Genomic DNA, 19,500 nt, shown 5'->3' on the forward strand with positions numbered 1-19,500 from the left:
TGTGTTTTTAAAATACACCCTATGAGGGCCAGAATAAAATTGTGCAAAATTTGCATTTTAGACATGGTTTTCCTTTTATTTCTTTCTTTCTTTTTTTTTTTTTTTTTCTGAGACGGAGTCTTGCTCTGTCACCCAGGCTGGAGTGCACTGGCCCAATCCCGGCTCACTGCAAGCTCCACCTCCCGGGTTCACGCCATTCTCCTGCCTCAGCCCCCGAGTAGCTGGGACCACAGGCGCCCGCCACCACGCCCGGCTAATTTTTTGTATTTTTAGTAGAAACGGGGTTTCACCGTGTTAGACAGGATGGTCTCGATCTCCTGACCTCATGATCCGCCCGCCTCGGCCTCCCAAAGTGCTGGGATTACAGGCATGAGCCACCGCGCCCGGCCTCTCCTTTTATTTGTAAAAAAAGTCAATTTTACGATCTATTTTCATTCACTTATTGTATTGAGTACCTTAGCTAAGTGCCATGTACTGCGATATAAAAAACAATGAGAGACAGGAATAATTGTGTCATCAAAGAATTGTTAGTCTCTTGTGGATACCAAAAAATGCAATGATAGATGCCAGCACACAGGAGGGGATCAGGGAGGCTTCCTGGAGGAGGATAGGTGAAGTGGCTTAGGCAGAAACAGGGAGGAGCAGCGAGTTCCAGGCAGGGGCTGCACTGTGCACATCACCAGCACTTAGAAGAGCGTGGCACTTCCTGAGAAGCGCAAGTGGTTGCAGCGGGGAGGTCTAGGTGTGAGTGGGTAAGGGTAGGAAACCTAAGAAAGAAGTCATTTTATTTTTCTCTCATATTTTATCATCCACATTGGTAATCAGTTGTAGTAGAAATATATTACCTATTCAAACGTTTACTGTGCCTAATTATAGATTATACTTTCTAACAAAATACAGTATTTAATGTACCCAACATTGAAGTTCTTTTCTATTACCTCAGTAAATATTTTAAACATTTCCATCGTGGTTTTCCTTTTAAGATCTAGTCTTATCATTTACTGTCTATCAAAACATAATAATACACAGCTATAGGTAATTTATTCAAATGTAAATACATTTTAGTATAAAATTTAAAATAGGAGGCCGGGCGCGGTGGCTCACGCCTGTAATCCCAGCACTTTGGGAGGCCGAGACGGGCGGATCACGAGGTCAGGAGATCGAGACCATCCTGGCTAACACGGTGAAACCCCGTCTCTACTAAAAATACAAAAATTAGCCGGGCATGGTGGCGCGCGCCTGTAGTCCCAGCTACACGGGAGGCTGAGGCAGGAGAATGGCGTGAACCCGGGAGGCGGAGCTTGCAGTGAGTCGAGATCGCGCCACTGCACTCCAGCCTGGGCGACAGAGCGAAACTCCGTCTCAAAAAAAAAAAAAAAAAAAAAAAATTAAAATAGGAGATTTGCTTCTCTCCTTGAGTTTTTTTATATTTTAGTGCAGTCTTGAAACACTTCATTTTTTCCTTCAGAACCGTGATGAACTTCGTATTAATAAATGTTCTGAAAAACTAAACGTACTAGTCTGTCTTTGGGATGTTTTTCTAGTTAGATCATCTTTATAAATATTTCATTTACTTCTAAGAGAGTGTACTTCTTTCTGGTTTAAAGAGAGTGGCAAAAGCACCCTTAGATTTCAAGCCAGTTTGCCCAGTGTGGCTCTCTTAAGCCTCCTGACCATATCCCTTCATTTCTGTCCAGGACTTGGAAGTGATGGAATTTGGCTGGAATGTGCAGCACTCACTGTGGTTTTTGTCTCTAAATAAGGAGGGGACAGTCAGGTAGCCACCCATATTTGCTTATTTGATTAATATTATGGGTGTTTAGGTCAGAAAAAAATGAATTTATCTACTAGCTTTGTGACCTTGGGCAAGTTATTTCACCTCTTAAAATCTCAATTTCCTCATCTGTAATATGGAGACAATAGGATGCTGACTCTGTAGGGTTGTCATGAATATTAAATGAAAGTTTATGTTATTAAGTGCAAAAACCTTAACACACTTCTGAGCACAAAGTAGAAACTCAGTAAATGCAAAAGCATCCTGGTCATCATCATCATCATCATCATCATCAAAGCAAAGGTCTAATGGAAGAAATGGAAAAGATAGGTTTGGATAGGGGAAAACCAACTCTAGGAAGATCTTTTCCTAGAAAAGTTTACCAGTCCAGCCGGGTGCGGTCACTCACGCCTCTAATCCCAGTACTTTGGGAGGCCAAAGCAGGTGGATCACCTGAGGTCAGGAGTTTGAGACCAGCTTGGCCAACATAGTGAAACCTCATCTTTACTAAAAGTACAAAAAAATTAGCTGGGCATGGTGGCTCACACCTGTAATCCCAGCTACTCAGGAGGCTGAGACAGGAGAATCCCTTGAACCCAGGAGATGAAGGTTGTGGTGAGCCAAGATCATGCCATCGCACTCTAGCCTGGGCAACAAGAGTGAAACTCCATCTCAAAAAATAAAAAAAAAAAGAAAGAAAAGCTTGCCAGTCCAAAGATGATTTAAAGTTTATTAAAGTCAGATTTTCGTATTCTGCAAATATTTGTGGCTTTTGGTATAGACATTCTAATCAATTATTTCTTTATATGAAATAATTTGAACTTGGCTACTTCTCTTTCCAAAATTTACTCTTAAAGTTTTTTTTCAGCTTGGTTTTGGTAAACATGGTCATATGATGTTATTTTTCACAAAGATAGAGTTGCTGCCCTCCTGAGTCAGCCCCATCCCCTGTCTAGTCCATAATTCTCTTGCCATTAGAGGGTCTAGTGGTGTGGTGGAATGAGCATGGCGAGCTGTGGCCAGGCCACTTAGCAGCCACTAGTGGCACTGTCATTTACCACATTTTAAATTATACTCTGTCTTGTGAATAATGTGCTCAGAATGTGGATTCTCTACTTGGATTTAAATTCTTGTTCTTCTGTTAATACTTACCATGACACTGAATCCTATCATCCTAGGAAAGTTATTAACATTTTTGTGCCACAATTTTCTCATTCACAAAATGGGAATCATAAGAGTTGTTATAAAAATAAACGAGTTAATGCATTTCAAGTGCTCAGAACAGTGGTTGGCACATAGTATGTGCTCAACCAATGGGAGTTGTTTCTCTTTTTCTTACTAGTTTCTTGCTTATGCCTCCTTTGGAGTAGGAATTTTGTGTGTTTTTCTGCTATATAATGAAAGTGGTACTTTCTTTTTATCTATTCAAGCCACTTTGTGTTATTTTGGTTTTTTTAAATATTAAAAATAGTAAAAATATTAAAACATAAAAAGGCTGCATGTGGTGGCCCACACCTGTAATCCCAGCACTTTAGGAGGTGGAGGCGGGTGGATCACCTGAGGTCAGGAGTTCAAGACCAGCCTGGCCAACATGGTGAAACCATGTATGTAAAAATACAAAAAATTAGCCAGGGGTGGTGGCGGACGCCTGTAATCATAGCTACTTGGGAGGCTGATGCAGGAAAATCACTTGAACCTGGGAGGTGGAGGTTGCAGTGATCTGAGATCGTGCCATTGCACCCCAGACTGGGTGACAGAGTGAGACTCTGTCTCAAAAAAAGCAAAACGAAACAAAACCAAAAAAAAAAAAACATAAATAGAGACAGGGTCTCACTATGTTGCCCAGGCTGGTCTCAAACTCCTAGGCTCAAGCAGTCCTCCCGCCTTGGCCTCCCAAGTGCTAGGATTACGGGTGTGAGCCACCACATGTGGCCATACTTTTTGTTATTTTGATTAGAAGTGGGTCCTTAGCTAAAGGTCAAAAGCAGTGAATTATTTCCATTGAGTTCTTTGTTTAAGAACCTGTATTTTTTTTTAAAAAAAGCAGTGAATTAAAAATTATCACCATTGAACTGAATTGAACTCCACATCTAGAAACAAGCATTAATGCTCCCTGCAGGAGAGCCAAATTCAAGCAGTAGATGGGTCTCATAATCCTGTGAAAATCAGCTCGCCTTGTTTCAGTTGGAGGAAAAGTGTAGCCAGTGTCAAGGGCAGAGCATCCTCATTGGGCAGGCAGAGATCTACCTCTGAGTGAAGGCCAGCAGGCTCAAGTTTCAGAACTATAGACAATCCCTTAGTTTTTCTGTACTCAGTGGACCTTTCCCTTCTATAAAGAGAAAACAACTAACTCCCTGTTTATATCACTAGAATGTTGTAAGGATAAACTATTGTTATCTGGAGCGTTTTTCTTTTTTCTTCAGAAAAAGAACAATCATTTAAAATGTTATTTGAAAGCATTCTGGAACTGTAGAGTGTTAGTCTTCGTAACTTAAAATTGATTCTAGTTTCCAGTCTTTTGTGGCTGGTTTGGTGCTTAGAACTCTAAACAGGTTTAATTATTTTCTAGCATAAAGAACATAGCCAGGTAAGTCTATTTTTGTTTTATGTAATGTTAGATTTAAACTGGTTAGTACTGAGTTTTCCCTCTTATTTTCCTTATACTAAAGGAAAGAGTTTTAATTTTTAGGTTTATTTTATTTCACCAGTGATAAACCAGTAATTTAAAAGTAAGTCTGCCACTAGCTGTGAGCTTCTTGGGAAGTTAGTTTACCCCGATAACTTCTGTTGTATGATCTGTGACCTATCTCTTAACATTGTTTTTGAGAGTTATAAATATATATTTTTTAAAAATGACTAGCCTAGTACCTGGCAGATAACAGAAACTCAGTAAATAGTACCTCTGAAAGCATGCCACAGTCAAAGGATAGTAGACTTTGGTGTTGGGCAGACTTAGTTTCAAATCTGCCTCTGCCATTGGGATAGATTTTTAACCTCTTTAAGTCTCAGTTTCTTCACCTGTAAAATGGAGGCAATTACACTTCTCTTATGGAGCTGTAGGAGGATTGGATGTTATCTATGTAAAGCACCCAGCACAGGGCTTGGCTCAAAGCAAGTGCTGGATAGAGGAAAGGTGGTGGTCAGTAGCAGGGGCAATACTGGCAGTGATAGTTGTAATTATTGTTGTCTTTATAGTAATGGTAGTAGTATTAATACATACATTGTTACTTTGTGAGTGGAGTAAAAACTTCAGAGGCCCAGAAGTCGTAACCAGGTCTGTTAAGCTTTGAAGTACCTTTGAGTATTTGGATGTTCATGTTGGTCTCTAAAAGGGAGACCCTTCATGCGCTCTCAGTGCCTTAAAAGTCTTAATATATCTCACTGAGGAAGCCAAGGCTAAACTTTCTACTTGACATTACAGGAGTTTTTCCCAAAGGGATTTTGGAGTCTGAGTTTAGCATACGATAATCATTTGCCACTTATCTCTGTCATTGAATTACTTTATCCCCCCTCTATTTCCACACTTTCCATCACAATCTACTCTCCATAATCAAGTGGCAGTGACATAAACCCTTTTGGGGACCTTTAGTAAGACCTTCGAAACTTGAGTTCACTTCTTTTTTCTTCTTTAGCTCTTTTTTAAAAAAATATTGGGCCAGGTGTGGTGGCTCACACCTGTAATCCCAGCACTTTGGGAGGCCAAAGTGGGCGGATCACAAGGTCAGGAGATCCAGACCATCCTGGTCAACATGGTGAAACCCCGTCTCTACTAAAAATACAAAGATTAGCTGGGCGTGGTGGCATACGCCTGTAATCCCGTCTACTTGGGAGGTTGAGGCAGGAGAATCACTTGAACCAGGGAGTCAGAGGTTGCAGTGAGCCAAGATTGTGCCACCGTACTCCAGCCTGGCAACAGAGCCAGACTCTGTCTAAAAAAAAAAAAAAAAAAAAATCAAATACATATATACTCCCTTTTTCATTAATAGTTTTGCCAGAATGTATGGCTTTTGATTATAAATCTTATTTTTAGGTCAGCATGGTGGCTCATGCCTGTAATCCCAGCACTTTGGGATGCTGAGACAGGAGGATTGCTTGAGCCTAGGAGTTCAAGACAGCCTAGGCAACAAACTCAGACCCTGCTTATCCAAAAAAAAAAAAAAAAAATTAGCCAGGTGTGGTGGCACACACCTGTGGTCTCAGCTACTGGGGAGGCTGAAGTGGGAGGATCATTTGAGCCCAGGAGTTATGATCATGCTACTGCACTCTAGCCTGGGTGACAGAGTGAGACCTTGTCTCTAAAATAATCGTAATAATAAATGAGTACATCTTTTTTGTAAGCTGAGATAGTGAGTTGCTGCTGTAGTATTTGTCCACAATTAAAACAATGTAGTAAACATATTAGATATTGAAATAGTTTCTAATTCCTAATAGTCATTCAAAATACATATCTTACTATGAACATTAAAAATACATATCTGAGCCAGGCATGGTGGCTCACACCTATAATCCCAGCACTTTGGGAGGTGGAGGCAGGTGGATCACTTACTTGAGGCCAGGAGTTTGAGAGCAACCTGGTCAACATAGCGAGATCCCATCTCTTAAAAAAGATACATACACACACATACACACACACACACACACATCTGTCTTAAAGTTTGAGTTCAGCTAAGGGGTCAGTTATGTTTCAGGAATGTCCATGCAGAAGAAAAGTGATTTATGTATTGAAAATCTGTGTCTGGTCAACATGAGAAGATCGTTTGAAGCTTGAATGGTGTGTTCTTCTGTCTACCTTGAAAAACTTGTCCCAAAGTGAGTTTTCAAGATACAGGATGTATGACTGTCTAATGCTTGTGAGGAGCTTAGCAAGAATGACCAGCGAATTGCTTATGAGTCTCATTAGCTCATTTACAGTTGCCTTAAAACATAGCTGCATTGGGCTAACCCAAATGCCTCATCAACATACCTGTACAGATTCAAATATATGAGAAGTCTTCCCTCTAGAGAGTGAGCCCTTGCTTAGTGCTGCCTTTACAGCACTGTGCATCTTCTGGATTGTTCCGTTCAGTGGAAGAGAAGCAATGACCCCTCATAACAGAGACCTAGATTGAGTTGCTAATTATTCAGCCAGTATACAGTATATACTATAGTGTGGTTACTGAGATACTGAATAGTTTAAGAGTTTCTGCCATAATTAGTACCTCACCTACTACTTAAAAAAAAATAAACAACCATAACTTAATTCATGTTTTCAAAAAAAATTTAAAGCTTGAAGGAACCATATTTGTAACAACAAAATGTCACTTAAAATGATGGAGCCTATCAATATATTGTTACCTATGCAAGAACTCCCTTTACAGAGCTTGAAGTAATGCTAGTAATGTGACACATAATATATTTTATTCATGATTTGTCATTTAAATGTGTTCAGAATACTGATGGATTCATAAATATCTCATGAAAGCATACATTTTGACAAAGTACCAGGAGGCCCAAGGACATACAAATGGGGCAGAGAATCAGAATCCATTTGCAGTGTCCCCGACCTCTCTCACTGGCATGTTATAGACAAGTAAAGGTTGCACCCATAGCTAACACACACAAAAAGAAACACAATTAACAAGTACCTTTTGTTTGTTACCTTCTCATAAATGGCAATTAAATGAGTAAAAGTAGGTTGGTGTTAAGCTTGGCAAAAGATACTGTGGGGAAGAAAGTTGGCTGCTGGTTGTGTTTATTGTTTGTGCCATTTCAAGCTAGCAACCCTAACTGAGTCTCAGTCATTAGAATTTAGGTTTATTCCAAAGGTAATATCGACAGCTCAAATATGAGATTTGGCCAACAGTTACATAAAGTCACCATGCAGAGTACACCTCTTAATTTTTTTCAAATTTGTTTATAAGTAGTAGCATAAGCTCATGATAGTCTTTGGATTCGTTTTTTAATCTTATGATTAGGATCAAGGGTCAAAATAATATATGCTGCATATAAGATAAGAAAATAGAGGAAGCATGTGCTTTATAATAACTTCAGACCATGTCTGTGAAAACATTGTTTCCCATCAATATTTGATTGAGAGATGCAGTTTATTCAATATGCACTATGTATCAGACACTGTTCTAAGTGCTTTACAAATATTAACCCACTACAGTTAATTTATAACTTTCCTCAGAGGTAGGCACTATTATTAGTCCCATATTGAGGAAAAATCAGGCACAGAGGGGTATGATTATTTGGTCAAAGTCACAGAGCTCATTAAGAGTGAGGCTGGGATTCCCCAGCCGGTGATCTTGAGTCCTTGTGGTTAATCACTGCAGGTAAATCCCTGCAAGTTAATCACTGTGGTTAATGGTGCTTTCTTTATATTCTTATATGAGTTCATTTAGCCTCTAGATCTCACAAGTAGAAATTAAAATACATATGATAAATTAAGTTTTGGTACTAGACAATTTCTACGTTAAATAGTGGAAAGAAATATGTTAATTAATAGAAATATAAGTTCATTAAAATCTTAGATGAAAAAAGATTTTAAAACAGAAATTCAAAAGTATATATTATAAATGAAAGTATCATGTGTAGATTCTGAGTTTGGGGCTTCTGCCCAAGCTGTGTCAGAAAAAAGCATTACCAAGAGGTGGACCTACTTCGTACCCCTTCTTCTGCCCTGACACAGGCAGGAGAATGCAAGGTCAGAGATAAGTGGTAGATGGGGGGCCCTCTAGTTGCTGCCCATGCTAAAGAGGCATGGCAGAATTTCTCAAGTAGTTGCTTTACCAGTTGCTGCAGAAAGCTGCTCCTGGCTGCTCTAACTTTAGGCCTCTAGAAGCCCTGCTGCTTGAATCCATTGGTTTTACCTCCTGACTTATTCTTGAGGATTCCCTGGCAATGAATACAGGTTCCACCTTACATTGACCTTACACTTCAAGGATTGTAAACCATTGCTGATACTTTATCCCACTTGAGGCTTATAAGGGTTCTGTGAAATAAGCCCATACCCTCATTCTGAGGATAAGGAAACTGAAGTTCATGGAAGGTAATGCAGGTGGAGGAAGCAGGACTAAAACTCAGATTTTCTGATTTTTTCTTAGCTGTTCTTTTGGGTTCTCTTGCATTGTGTACTATACCTTCACTCCTGGCCTGTACCCACCTTTGACAGGAGCCCAACTGACTCATCTGACTTCCTGATGACTATTCCCCTGGAAATCTTCCCTTAGTTTCATAAACTAACAACGATGAGACTGTCTGATCCCTAGATTGAGTGACTAGTTATTCAGCCAGCACCTATAGTCTGGTTATTGACATACTGGATAATTTCTGGGTTTCTACTATAATTAGTACCTCACCTACTACCTAAAAAAAGCCAACAAAAATAAAAATAACTCAATTCATGATTTTTTAAAAAGCTTGCACAAGCCATATTTTATAACAACAAAATGTCACTTAAAGTGATAGAGCCTATCAGTATGATATTGTACCTATGCAAGAACTCCCTTTACAAGGCTTGAAGTAATGCTGGTGCTGTGACACGTAATATAGTGTATTCATAATTTGTCACTTAAATGTTTTCATAATACTGATGGATTCATAAATATCTCATGAAAGCACAGCTTGAGTTTTTGCATCTGCTATTAGTAAAAGGTATGATAGTTGAAGCAACTGTTGACATTCACACTGAAATTCAATGTCTCCTTTATCATGCATGTCATTACAAACCTAAGAACTGGCCCTTTTCAAGCCTGGGCAGAGGAGGCTCACCCAGGCCTTGCCAGCCACTCTTGGCTCTACTGCCTTGCTTCTTTCCCCACTGTTGGCTTCCTTCCCCACCATTTAGCTCCCATGAACTAAGTGGTTGTTATTATCAGCAAAACAAGAAAATGTAGTTACTGCAAGGGTGGGATTACCGAACTATTCTCTTTTGTATTGGCTATCCAAAACAATTTTGTCTGGAGTGGACTCAATTATCAATCAGGAGTCCTTCATTGGAACATACGTAGGGTTTGAAACAAGAGCACTTGTATTCCTGTGTATCAGTATACATGTTTAAACAAGCTTGTCTAAAACTAGATTTTGGATTTCTTTCAAGATAAAAGCAAAGTAGGACTGAATGTCTGCATTTGCTCAAAAGTTTTGACCTTTACTAATTTGCATTTTGTGATTGTCGTAATGTTACCCTGTAAAAGGTTTCAAGTACTTTGGCCTAGAAGTCTTAGTAGCTAGGTGCATTGCTGGCACTTAATTGTATCCTTTCCTGTTGTTCCACTTTTATTAAAAGCTTTTTTGTATGCCCATGAGGAAACAACCAGTCACAATAGCTGATAACTGTTGACAATGTAGAGAGGCGATGTCTCCATCATCATGTAGTTTCTTCCTACAGAGACGCTCCTCAGGAATTTATGCATCTGCTTTCTCACTGCAGGATTTCTGGTTGCCTTTCTGTGTATAAGCATACATTGGCTACAATTCCACTAACTTACAAAGCCAGCAGAAGTTAAACAAAGAGGAGCACCATTTTATATCTTAATGCCACTCCATAACTGATCAACAAAGAACAAACGTATAAGTTGGTGCAAAAGTAATTGAGGTTTTTGTCATTACTTTGTTTTTGTCATTACTTTTTTTTTTTAGATAGGGTCTCCAGTTGCTCAGGCTGGAGTGCAGTGGCACAATCTCAACTCACTGTAGCCTTGACTCCCTGGGCTCAGGTGATCCTCCCACCTCAGCCTCCTGAGTAGCTGGGACTACAGGTACGTGCCATCACACCCAGCTAATTTTTGTATTTTCAGTAGAGACCAGATTTGGCCATGTTGGCCAGGCTGCTCTCAAACTCCTGACCTCAGGTGATCTGCCCACCTTGGCCTCCCAAAATGCTGGGATTACAGGCGTGAGCCACCGTGCCTGGCCTTTTGTCATTACTTTTAATGGCAAAAACTGCAATTACTTTTGCACCAACCTAATAAAAACAGTTGGGTTTGAGCACGTTCACTGAGAAAGATGGGTGTGGCATGCGGGAATGAAGGGAAAGGATTCTTTTTGGCCAGATAATTCTCAATCTCTCCTATAAACTAAATAAACATAAGGACATTTTGTCAATTGTGTATAAGACAAGGGACATGAACAATTCCTTATTATGTGACAGTTGCTTTCATATCAGTGTATCTCATTCAGTCTTCATAGTAGCTGTGCCAAATAGGTATTTCTACCTTCATATTTATAACTGAGAAGACAGAACCTGAAAGAAGTATTTTAGCTAATAAATGACAGAGCAGTATTTGAAATACTTCTTTCTGGCTCTAAACCTCAAAATATTTTCACCACAGCATGAAAAAACTAAAGCTCATTGAACGAGTAGTTGGTAGAGGCTGTGTGTGTGTGTACAGGGGAGGTAACTAGCTAATGAATAAAGCTTCCCGTAGAAATGTAGGTACCCATTTACTCTCAGAGCTGTCTCCCTGAGCAGGGAAGCATTTCCTCCTTTTGATTACATGCACCCTACTTGGTCCCATTGTACAGAAGGGTATCCAGGAACAAAGAATTCATATGCCTTATAAAGTTAATGGGGCATTCTTGTTTTCCTGGGAACCCCTGACTTGAAATGATTCTAAGAAGAATCTGTGACTCAGTTCCTGAAGTGTTAACTAAACCTGTTGCACCTGATTTCCAATCTAGCCACAAAGTCTTAGTACCTGCTACTGGGGTGATTCACTGAGTATGTAAAGGAATCTAAGGTGACAAATGTTGAGGATTTTTCACTCTGCATAAAGGTCACAGCCCCAAAAGAGGAAAGAAAATGCTGGTGACCCAAACTTCAAATTTGTAGGCGATACAGTTGGCGTGAAAGATGTAGATCTACAGAGTTTGATGCAAAAGGATTATGAAAACCTTGTAAATAATCTTTGTCTTTAGTACCCATTTCTCTCAAAACTGAGTTTTATTTTGATTTTCATGTATGTGAGTTTTAAAATTATGTTTAAGAATGTTCATTAGTTTCTATGAATATTATTATATACACAGAGCTAACTTCTATGTCAGTAGGTCACAGAAAAGAGTAACTTTCTGTTTCCATTTTACCAGACTGGAAATTTATATGCTCTGGTATTTAGATTACATGTTGTTGGCTTAAAGCCTAAATCATTATAGTCATTAATACTGTTCATTTTCCAAAGTACAACTGGAAATTTGCTACTTTGTCTTAAACCACTCTCTTTTATTATAGACTTTCTCTAATTTTAAAAACAATTACCCAGTGATAATGGTAATTGAAGCAGAAGGTTGGTTTACTTCTTTTATGTGTGACTGTAACTGAGCAGATGTTACTACTTCTCTCCAAAGTGGTCTTGATGTATGGTTTTCAGTGACTGTGTTTGTCACACTCAGAAAGGTAAGTAACTGTGATAGTGAAACTGCACTAGTATAATTCATTTATTAAACAAACATTTATAGACACCTGCTGTATGTGAGGCCCTGGAGTGTGGGCTGGCAAACCAGTTCAAGTTCTGTGGTTGGCAAATTGAGTCTCACTCCCCTATCTTCTAGAGAAGCTGCAATATTCACCATTAAAATGATAAAAAGTTGCTACACTTACCGCTATAATAAAAAAGAGATATTCAAATATGCATAAGACAGCCTGGCACGGTGGCTCATGCCTGTAATCCCAGCACAATGTGAGGCTAAGGTGGGAGGATTGCTTGAAGCCAGGAGTTGGAGACCAGTCTGACCAACATAGGAAGACTATGTCTCTACAAAATAAAAAAAATAAAAATAACTGGGCAGGGTGGCATGCACCTGTAGTCCCAGCTACTTGGGAGGCTGAGATGGGAGGGTTGCTTGAGGCCAAAAGTTCAAGGCTGCAGTGAGCTATGATTGTGCCACTGCACTCCAGCCTGGGCAACAGAGCAAGACGTCTCGCTGAAAACAAACAAATATGCTCAAGACAGAGGCTGAGAGATAAAAGAACTTAATCCTCACAGAGGATGAAGAATTTATAATTCTTGAGTGTAATTGTTACTGCTAAAGGAATTCCAGAGAACACTTGATGATGTTAGTGTATATAAATTCTCTAAATGGATGGTTCTATTTATATCTATAATGTAAAGATATGCATATTGATATATATGTTTGTATATATAGATAGACACATTCATACATATATACACATACATACATTCTAGCACTAAGTTCTTTACTGATATATATACTCAGTTCTAGATTACCTACTTAGTAAATTAAACATGTACTTACGACATCAGCAAAGCAGGAATGAGAGAGAGAAAAGCCAAAATACGCCTGAAAGTTCTGTGTTATTTTCAGATATTAAATTTTGTTGTAGGGTTTAGAATTGTTTTTATTTTGAATGACATATTGAGGTGGGGGGGGCATAACCTTTTTGATGGTTAAAGTTTCTAAAGATAATGATGCAGACCTCTGTATATACCTTGTTTAAAGAGCACTGTGGCCAGGCGTGGTGGCTTATGCCTATAATCGCAACACCTTGGGGAAGCTGAGGCAGGAGGATCACTTGAGGCCAAAATTTGAGACCAGCCTGGACAACATAGTGAGACCCTGTCTCCATAAAAAAAATTTTTGAAATTAGCCAGGCGTGGTGGCATGTGCCTGTAGTCCCAACTACTCGAAAGGCTGAGACAGGAGGATTGCTTGAGCCCAGGAGTTCAAAGCTGCAGTGAGCTGTGATTAAGCCACTGCCCTGCAGCCTGGGAGACAGAGTGAGGCCCTGTCTTTAAGTAAGTAAGTAAGTAAGTAAGTAAGTAAGTAAGTAAATAAATAAATAAATAAATAAATAAAAGAGAGCATTGGCAGGGGTTAGGGTGGAGGTGGGAGAAAAAGTATGATGTGAACTGTGGAAGGTAATAGAGAAATATGCCCCATTTATTCTTGTGTTCATCTCATGAGTCGGATTCCAGGCCCAAAGGTACCACTTTATCTTCCTTAAAGAGGCTCAGTTGGTTAGCATCACTTGTTAAATGTCCTGTCCAGTTGTGTGGAAACGGTCAGATCGGTGAACTTCTCAAGTAACTGTTCTTTTATGGTTTGAGACTCCAGTTTTATTTTTTGATACATTTACTTTTTGATACACTTGGCTTAGCTGTTTTGGAGGCTTCACCATATTGAGTAGTTCCCCTTCACCCCTGTGGGTGTACATACCAAGATCCCCTGTGAATTTCTGAAACTGCTGATAGCACTGAACCCTCTATATACTATGTTTTTTCCTATATACATGTACCTATGATAAAGCTAAATTTATGAATTAGGCACAGTAAGAGATTAACAATAGTAAATGATAAGAACAATTATAACAATATACTATAATAAAAATTACATGAATATGGTATTTCTCTCTCTCTCTGTCAAAATATCTTATTGCATGTAACATTTTTGGACCACGGTTGACTGAGTGACTGCAACCATGCATAAGGGAGGACTGCTATAGTTATAATAATTCACAACCTCACTATTTATGGATAACACTGTTAACATTGTGTTCCTTTTTGGTACACATTTTCATATAGCTTAGCAGTAAAGATGAAATTATAGAGGGAGTAATTTAGATGGCTTTTGTATCTCGTTTTGTTTTTCATTTCACATTTTATCATAAGCCTCTCCCTACTTCATTAAAACATGTAAAATAATTTCCTTACTCATTTCCCTCTGTGTAAAACCTTTATCCACATCTTGAACCTCAGTCTCTGGATATTCTCTATTTGTTTTTCCAGACCCACTCTCCACCCTCCTCTGTGCTCAGAGGCTGTATTTAATGACTACATGAACCTAGCTCTTTGTCCTCTGGCTTCTATAACAGTTAGGTTCTGCCAGTGGGAAGCTTTGGAGGAGAGGGCAGGAGTGGGAGGTCAGGCTGGAGTTAGGTAATGGTTTTGTTACTTCGCAGAAGGCCACAGGTTCTGATGGGTCAACCTCTTCTATAGCTCAGATCTTGGCAGTTCCAGTACTCACTCCCTCCCCTTGCCTTTATGCTTAGGGGGTAGTAGAGGCTTCCTGCCATTGGGAGCCCTGGTCTGCTTACCATTCCTTAGTGGTTTTCCCTTACCTGTCCACATCTTGTAACTAGTCAGTTATTTAAACACTTCTCAATTATCTCTTTGTGTGTACCATCGGTTCTCTGCTGAGAACCTGGCTGACATCTGAATCCAAGTGGTACGCTCTTTATATTTTAGGTTTAGGGCTTTGTACTGCAGAAGGATAAAAGACAGTTCAGGATTAGGTAAGGGAGTTAAATTAGTTCAGGTCTGAGCTGATGTTACTGAAAAATGGCATAGACTAAATTAAATGACACTTACAGAAATATAAGCAAATTGTTTCTGGAACAGAGAAAAAGGAGCAATCAATTCTTATAAACATTGTATTGAACACCTGTGCTTAAAAGGCAAGCAGGATACCTTCCCTGCCAAATGTTTCCAGTTCTCTTGTCTTATTTGGATAGTATTAGTTCAATTGTTTCATTTCCCTTTTCAACCTGGGCTTTCGTGACTATTTCCCTTCTGCTTTTCCTCCTCGTTTCTGGGCAGTTTGCCTATCCATACATACAGTCCTCTATCTCCACTTGGATAGTCCTTCTTCATTCTTGTGTTGCTCCCTTGTAGAAAGCACTCTCAGGGTTTTGTGAGCTGAATGGATACCACGTTTTTGGCATGCTCCCTTATATGAACAATAACCTTTTCTTACTTAAAGGAGACACAAAGCATGTAGCAAAAAGTTAACTTCATTCCGTTTTGCTTCAGCTCTAGATCTGAGTCATGACTTTTAAAAACAAATGCCAAAGCGGTCATCAGACTTACTAGGGGCTGTTAATACTTCACAGGCCTTTTAAATCCAATAAATGTAATGGAAGAATGTCAGTGTTTTCTGTGATTACCAGGTTATCACTGACAGAATCTCTGACTGAGAGAATATTAAGGCTTATTCTGTGGCTCACTGTGTAACTCATAAGTCCTAAGGTTTTATATATATATATATATATATATATATTTTCATTTGCAGTCTGTCAAAGATTTAAATAAATTTTGTCTATTTTTAACCTATTTTTAAATATGTCTTTGCTGATCAGATATTCACATTATATTTCATGCTCTTAGAAATGTGAATTACTCTTAGTGTATCCTACCACAGGTATAAATAAGTATAATTTACTTAAAATTCAGTATACAAAATTTCCATCATTTACCAATGACCATTGATGGCAGAAAAGACAAAAACAAAAATTTATTGGTATAGAAATGAGAGGACTTGGGTTTTAATTTTAGATTTCTCAGTTACAAATTAGGTGACTTTTAAGCAAATCACCTAAATTCTTTGTGCTTCAGGGTATTTTTCCATAAAATGGGGAGAATCCCAATCTCCCTGCTCCCTAACCAGCCTGTTGAGTGGCTCCCTTGAAGCCATGTATGAGAGCATGGTGAGGAGTGGGAGGCCTAAGGCTTAGGGGAGCCCTGTCACCCCCCGGTCATCCCTCACACAGCTCTCACCACTTCTTTTCTGGAAGCCTTGAGCATTCTTTTCCCTCTTCCTGTGGTCTTCCCACAGGTGAGTAGACAAAGGGCAGGATTCACTTTCCCCTACCTTGTGTCCATTCTAATCTTCTCTCTAGCTATTCCTCTCCAGCTTCTCAACTTATTTCTGAAACATCTCCAAAATTCTGTTCTGAAGCTGGTACGGGGCATTCCCATTCATTTCCCTGTGCAAAGTGGCAAGGTGGAAGTGTGGGGCCTGTAGATCCCATCACTGCCACTGCTCAGGGCTCGGTCCTCGGCACTGTTGCCCACTCACCTCGGTTTTGCACCACCCAAGTGCCTGTGGGGATTGCTGTGCCTAGACACACATACCCATATTTCTTCTTTAGCTGCTGCTACCAGGTTGCCCTCTCTTACAGACACTACGTATTTCAGAGGAAGCACATATGGGCTTCCCACATAATTTCCAGAGGTAGTTAGGTTTGGTTGTCTCCATTTCACAGATTAAACAATTGAGGCATGAAATTGTTTAATGAGAGTTGTAACTGTATCTTCAGAATTTTAGCTAATGCCTCTTCCACTGTAGCTCCACAAGTATTTCACTACAGTAGATAGAAAGAGAAAAATGTGTTTTGTAGTTTTACTGGTTTATTGCAATGTCTTTTCTTCCTCCTCCTCCTGTTGTTCTTCTTCTTCCCTTTTTTTAAAACTTAAAATTAATGGAATAAAATGATGCTGGCCAGGTGTGGTGGCTCATGCCTATAATCCTAGCACTTTGGGAGGCCAAGGTGGGTGGATCACCTGAGGTGATCGAAACCAACCTGGCCAAAAAACGGTGAAACCCCGTCTCTACTAAAAATACAAAAAATAGCCAGGCTTGGTGGCAGGCGCCTGTAGTCCCAGCTACTTTGCTGAGACTGAGGCATGCAAATTGCTTGACCCCGGGAGGCAGAGGTTGCAGTGAGTTGAGATCGCGCCACTGCATTTCAGCCTGGGCGATAGAGCCAGACTCTGGTCTCAAAAATAAATAAATAAGTACAAATAGAACAAAATGATGTTGAAGTAAGAGAGTAAATGAAAACACTTATTTGATTAGTAAAGTAAAATAATAACCTTTGTTTTCCTTTCTTTTCTTTTCTTTTTTTTTTCGAGACAGAGTCTCTCTCTGTTGCCCAGGCTGGAGTGCAGTGGCATGATCTTGGCTCACAGCAATCTCTGCCTCCCGGGTTCATGCCATTCTCCTGCCTCAGTCTCCCAAGTAGCTGGGACTACAGGCACCTGCCACCATGCCTGGCTAATTTTTTGTATTTTTAGTAGAGACGGGGTTTCACCGGGTTAGCCAGGATGGTCTCGATCTCCTGACCTTGTGATCCACCCGCCTCGGCCTCCCAAAGTGCTGGGATTACAGGCGTGAGCCACCGTGCCTGGCCTCTTTTCTTTTCTTTAAGAGATGAGGTCTTGCTCTGTCATCCCGGCTGAAGTGCAGTATACGATCACAGCTCACTGAAGCCTCTAATTCCTGGGCTCAAGCAATCCTCCCGCCTTAGCCTCCTGAGTAGCTGGGACTACAGGTGTGCACCACCATGCCTGGCTACTTTTAAAACAATTTTTGTAAAGATGGGGGTCTCACTGTGTTGCCCAGCTTGAGGATTGCTTGAGGCCTAGTCTCCAACTCCTGGCCTCAAAAAATCCTCCTGCCTTGGCCTCCCAACATGCTGGGATTACAGGCATGCCTACCATGCTCAGCCATGATTTTTACATTCTAATTACAGATCACACTAAGGTGAACATTACAATTTTAATATAATAAATTCTATATGTAGAAAATAATGGATTGTTGTTAGTAACAAATGGCTGGCCATTGAATCCTTAGTTTGACTCTCACTTACTTTGTGCTCTTTTGAAATACACCGTCTCTAGGGCATTTCCATGTTTAGAGTTTGATAACCAAAGACACTGCCCTGACTTGTGCAATTTCAAAAAAGAAAAACCCCAGAAGTTGTCACCCCACAAGACACCTTTCTGATCAGAGCTGTTCATATTCAGGTCCCAACATGCAGCTTCAGTTTTTTTCTTAAGTGGAAATTCAGTAGCATTGAACACAATGTATTTAGGAAATTTAAATATTGAGCAATTTCAAATATCTCTAGAGTAATTTCCTTTGGGAACTTGTGATTTGAAAAGGTTACTATTTGAATTCCCAAGAGATTCTGGAACCCAAAATTCAGGGCTTGGATGTGGGACAGGAACCCAGAGTAACTGAAATCCAGCTTCTCTGAGGCATCACAGCTTGGTGGTGGGTCAGAGGGCTGATGGACTAGCCACCTAAATGACTCTAATGGGTTGGCACAGAGAGGAGAGTGTGATTAGGTGATGTTACCCGTTTCTGTGACAACCTTTGGAAATTCTTCTGTGTTCTAATAATTTAGATGAATTCAGAAAGAAGATGAGTAATCATAACAATAAAGAACTAAACCAGAAATCCAAAGACTTGGATCTTTGCTAATATTAGCTATGTTTATTCAGTGATGTCACTTGACTTTCTTGAGGCTTAGATTCCTCATTTATAATAGGAAGGGTGAATTCAGTCTTTTATCATAGGGTTTGTTCTGGTCTTAAAGTCTCTGAATTACATAGGTTAGTTTATAATTTTTACAGGAAAGTTTGTCATGTAAGTACAATAAGCAGCAATGTGTAATGTGTAAGGAAATTGAATTCATTCCAGTGATAGTTATTTCCACCCTTTTCAGTGGGGGTGCCCTTGATGAAACGTAGAGTCATCAAAATCAAGATGTTTCAAACTCCTTCTGAGTAGAAATCTTAAACATCTTGGATGATTGCAAATGGGAAAGAGGAAAACTGCAAAAATTATGTGTTTATTTTAGACACATAACATGAAAGAGTGGATTACATAAATGCTATTTCAAGAAATCTCTTAAGATGTACATACATTTGTGTCTATATGTTTGATGATCACTTTACAAATTCAGCATAGGATCATAACATAGAAACTGAGGTATATCCAGACACTCCTATATACAGCATAGAAGAATTTAACTAATGACAAAAATTCAGGGGACAAAAAAGTTTACAAAATTTGTGTCTGGCTTCTTTGTAGTCATAATGTGTCTGTTGACTTAATAAAATAGCATATTGCTTTCTTTACAGGTTTGAATCATAGTGTCTTGTGGCCAAAATTCCTAAATTCTGCTCACGGTTCAGCCATTTCCTGGGTGTGTTACCTTAGGT

At 39.6% G+C, this 19,500-nt stretch overlaps 1 protein-coding gene across 2 annotated transcripts in view; it reads left to right on the forward strand.

Annotated features, from left to right (window-relative positions):
* Positions 1-19,500, forward strand: part of CRYBG1 (crystallin beta-gamma domain containing 1) — a 211,301-nt gene that overhangs the window by 1,163 nt on the left and 190,638 nt on the right. The window lies entirely within an intron of this gene.

This window comes from Homo sapiens, chromosome 6 (genome assembly GCF_000001405.40).
Source record: "Homo sapiens chromosome 6, GRCh38.p14 Primary Assembly".
Classification (NCBI taxonomy): domain Eukaryota; kingdom Metazoa; phylum Chordata; class Mammalia; order Primates; family Hominidae; genus Homo; species Homo sapiens.